Source organism: Homo sapiens, chromosome 2, assembly GCF_000001405.40.
Source record: "Homo sapiens chromosome 2, GRCh38.p14 Primary Assembly".
NCBI lineage: Eukaryota > Metazoa > Chordata > Mammalia > Primates > Hominidae > Homo > Homo sapiens.
In genome coordinates this window covers 146,172,898-146,178,066 of record NC_000002.12, presented here as the reverse complement: position 1 = coordinate 146,178,066, position 5,169 = coordinate 146,172,898, and positions in this window count along the sequence as shown.

Here is a 5,169-nt window from a genome sequence, read left to right as displayed (position 1 = left end):
GATTGACTTTTTTAATTACAAAGGTTTATAATTAAGGAGGTAAAGACAACAGGTTAGCAGTGCATATTGGATGTGCTGGAAATGAGAATGCATATGAAAATGAAAAAATCTGACTAAACTGTGCATGTTAATAAGTGGCATATTATTAGCACTTTGAAAGCTTTCCTTTTAAAAATCCAACTAACTATATTTAGACTTCTAAAGGACACTTCCTCCTAGAATATTGCTGTTTTCGTTGTTTAGCTTTACTTTTCATTTCTTTTTTTTTTCCACTGGATGATTCTTGTGTAAAGGGCACATCAACGTTGTTAACTAGTTTTTAATTTGTATTTGTTTAAGATTTCACAAAATATCTAAGGTCTTTACCTATGCATGTTTCAATATGACCATCAGACATCATTTCTAAAATACATGATCCAATAAATAATGAGTGGCAGTAAAGACCAGGTACAAAGGAGTTAGTAATATAAATTCATGTTTCGACATATAGTGCAAAATGGGTTACTCACTGAGTCATAAAAATGAATTGGACATTTAAGCATTTGATTTTTATGTCATCCCATCATACATTATAGGAATGCACGTAGGGTCTGGATACCATGGAGGCATAAGTTATGCAGAACGTTTCACTCTTGTTATTACATATATAGAATATATATAATTATGTATTATATCATATATGTAATGTATATTGGATTGAACTTTGTAAAACTTACACATTATTAGTCAATTGTTAGAAATATGAGTTATATGAGTTTCCTAAAATATGAAAAATATAATCCAAGAAAAACAATAATATAATAATAACATACATTGTAAACACACTAAGAACTATAACAATTTATTGATTTTTAAAATAAGAGGACCAAAATATTTATTTGATCCAAAAGAGAAATTAAATCTCTTCAAAATAAGTTCAATGAAATTAGGTAACTATTTAAATAATTACCTAATTATCACCTATTCCCTTGGTAATAGGGATATAGATAAAGATATTTTTCACAGCATCACTAGCATATATATAGTATATATTTTATTGTATATGTTATTATACATCTATATATACATAGATTAGATATATTGGCATTTCTGGTAAATAATAATTCATCTTAGAATGTGATAAAGTCAATAATATACATTTTTAAATAAGTATTTTACAACAGTTAATTAGCTAAAATGATAATATCCTGAGCTAACATTATCACAAATAAACTAAAAGAAGTATCAATACATGTCAGATGAGTTAATGTATATCCAAAACTAAAGTCATAACTAAACAGAAGCTTCAAGGTCTTACAGAAGGTCCTGCTGCTCCTAGAGGTGAAAAGAAACTGTGAAACTGCCAAGTATTCTTTGAGAAATATTTTCCAAATGTTCTTTGTCTTTCCACTAAGTTCTTAGTTTTTTGATTTCTAATTGCCAAAATGTCAGGAGGAAATGAAATGTTGCTTCTTTACTATCATACTAACTCAGCTGTTTATTCTCCAGGTTTTAGGAGTATGTATAAGGCATCATAGCAATGAACCAGTATATATGCTTTTTGGGAAAAGAGGCTAAGAGATTAGGAACAACGATTGATAAAGCAGTGTGAGGACTTGAAAGATGTATTGATGGCTTTTGGTGTTGGGACCTATGTATTTCAATGTACTTGCTAATGATGAGGAGAACAACATGAACAGGGAAGTGGTGAAATATTCTGAAAACACTAAACTATTTTCGTTAGTTAAAAACTAATGAGGTTTGGGAGATGCTCCAGATGGCTGTAATCATACTGGAGAATTGAGCAGTCCAGTGGCAGATGAAATTCATTTTTGATAAATGTACAGGAAGGAATATTGAAAAATTATAATCTAAACTCTCCATGTATACCATGAGGTTTTGAACTTGCAAATTCTCTGAGGGGTAAGACATTTACTACTAACATGCTGGTTCAATGAAGGTGTTCCCCAATGCACATCTTTTTGGAAACGGCTGAGTAGATGCTTGGATGTGTTCAGAAAAAGGTTTAAAAATGCAAATAATAGGGAAAGCTGTTTTGAAATAGATAAAGAACATTTTACCCATTGCAGCAGGATAGATTTCTTCTGGGTAACAAGTGAGAAGTAACAGAAACAAGAAAGTCACAGAAGCTTGTGATAAGAGTGACTTATTTCTGAAGTAAGATTGAAAGACAGGCTAACAAATGGAGAACACATTTACATATGCTCAAACCTGTTTGTACTATAAAGCTTTTCCATTTTAAGCAAGGTTAGAACCATGGAGAATTTGATCTCATTAACGGGGCAGCAACTGTGGGGTCCTGACGATTAATACATGAGTTCAACTATTTGGCACTTGAAAGTTAAAAATTCAAGGCTTAGCTTGGTTCAGGTACTGGGTTGTAGGTGATAAATCCTGAATGTGTATAGTCATGGTCTCTTTGTGATTTTCATACTGTAAGAAAAAAAGTGATATATTAGCATATCAAAAGACCATGCTTCCAATTCACCAATGCTTGGGTAAGTAATAGGCAGAAATTGCACTGAAAATTTTAGATGAATACACAGAGATTGCCTTAAATTAAAGAATGTCAGTAATAAATTGATATCTCTCTCTATATATATATGTATGTATACACACACACATATAGTGTGAGCTATATACATATATACATAAAAATTTGTTGTGAATGAATAATTGAAGAAAATATCTCACACAACTTGTTTTTGGCTCATACTCAATTGAATTGAGGGAAAACATTTTATAAATTCAAGGTTCATTGATAAAATTGACAGCTTTTTTGAAACTAAATGAAACCACTTACATTGTTTGTGGGAGATAATAAAAAAATGTACATTATTTTCTCAAGGGATTGCAACAACAGTCTTTTGATCTATTAAAAATAAGTGAAAACTATTAGGATAAATATTTTGTACAATTGAAGAATTCACGAGAAACTAGTCAAAAAGGCATGTTTTGCATAAGATAGAAATAAGGTTAGACCTTAGAATTATAAATCAGGAGGTATTTTAAACTGTACTATATATTTCATGGCTACTGAATATGATTCAATAATCTGCCCTTAAATATGACAAATCTAAAAAGTATATAATATATTCACACTAATATATATTAGTATGTGTATTTATGTAGTATAATTACATAACTATGAGTATATAACTCCACTACAGTGTGTGTGTTACGTCACTGTATGTGTCAATAGTTTTCATTCATAATAGACTTTGTTCTGAGTCTTCTTTCTGATACATGATTCATGAATGAAGAATCCAATTAACTATAATTTTTGCTCTCCACTGGAGCAATATTTGAAAGACAGTGTCTTGGTGCTGAAGTAGTTCTCTTCTGGGAAGGGCCTTTATTTGGGGAAGCAGAATTTAAAAGGCCTGCTTTCTAACATCTTTTTGTAATGGATGTACACCATGCTATCTATGATGATTCATGAAAGACTTTCTATTTTTATTTTTTTTAATGAAAATGTGTATAAGCTTACAATCTGAACATTATGGTGCAGACATACTAAACAGTTCTTTGCATTATTTTAAGATATCTACTTGACATGTTAGCAAAATTGCCTAAGAATTTGTCTGTATCTACATAAGAGCATAACTACCTGAATGTGGATTTAGAGATCTATGAATGTTTCCAGAAAGCTAGCAAGTTGAAAACTGGCTGGTCAGTGGAAGGAGACCATGTGAACCTGCAGTTGCTAAGACAGAAGCAATGAGAAAAGAATGAAATGGATGAAGCAGCAAGGAGGAAAGGGTCTACTAAATAACATTTTTTATCAAAACTGTGCCCCTAATGCCACATGTTCTCTCAAGATGTTGAATAGATATCTACTTTGGGGAGGCCCTAAAAGCGTACTAGAAGAAGGCACCTGGAACTGTGATTGACTCCTTCTGCATATATCTGCATTGCCCTCTGGCCTTCCGCATTCCTAGAACTCAACTCTTCCTAGTAATAAATCTCTTCCAGTATGCTACACTGAAAATGCACTGTTCAAAACATGCTGTTTCTCTTTTAGTGAAGAGTTTGTATAAGTAAAAGTGAATAATATTGGTCAGTGGAGCTACAAACAAAAGTGGTTCCATGTGTGCTTAGAGGCAATTCTCAGTTTCTGTGAAGGACTGCAACAGGGAAGACCTTGCAGCATCATTCAATAGCTCTTAAGTTCTTTAAGAAACCTAAGCTTGTTCCAGATTCTCTTGATTACTCCAAATTCCCTTGATTATTGGGTAGTGTTAATTTGGAGTTGTAATTTATAAAAATAAAATCAAAAACAACAACCAAAAAAAAAAAACCCTTGCAAAATAATGTTTCTAAGGAAGAGATATGCAAACCAGTGAGTAAAATAACTGCAATGGCATTTGTTTGAGAAGACTTACTTGTATCTCTTTCACATTATGTTTATCTGTAGATTCATAGACACACTTTCAGTAGCATGCTTAGTGTTTTAAGTGTTTTACTTTTTTTTTTTTAAATAACTTTCCTCTCAAAAGCCCTGGGTTCAGGAATATGAATAACAAAATGGCTGCTTAATCCACTCAATGAATCTTATTACCAGGGGTATAACCTCATTCTCTTATCTTGCCTGCCATAAAAGTGAGCAGAGAATACTAGTTCAAGGGCACTTTAGTGAATTGTAGCCTGTTGCCTGAGAATGCATGGATAAATAAAATTTCTACTGTCCCCATAAATTTAAGCCATAGCTAAATAAATAGACTTAGCAGAATTAGAGAAAAAATTTTAAAAGCCTAGAGATCAATTTTAGTCTCTCACAGCAAAAGAGAATAAGAAATATAGTAACATCTTCAAAAATTATTACTTCTTTGGTTTAGATCTCCAGTAACATTTTTATGTTGTTAGATTATAAATTCTTAATTATGAGAAAGAACTAATCTATCCTCCATGAAGTTAGGGATTTTGTCTTTATTTTTCTTGACCCTACGGTCTCTAGCATATACGTTGGCAGAAAGTATATCTTTAATTAATGAATAAATGTACGTGTGATGAATGAATTATTTTATTGAAGAAAATGTACAGAGAGTCTTTGATATCTGTGAAATGAAGGGGAAAATATCATAGGGAGTCAGAAGTATGAAAATGTAGATACGGTACAACTGCATCTTTCAAAAATGCAACATTTCACAAAGTCTATGTTAGAGTATC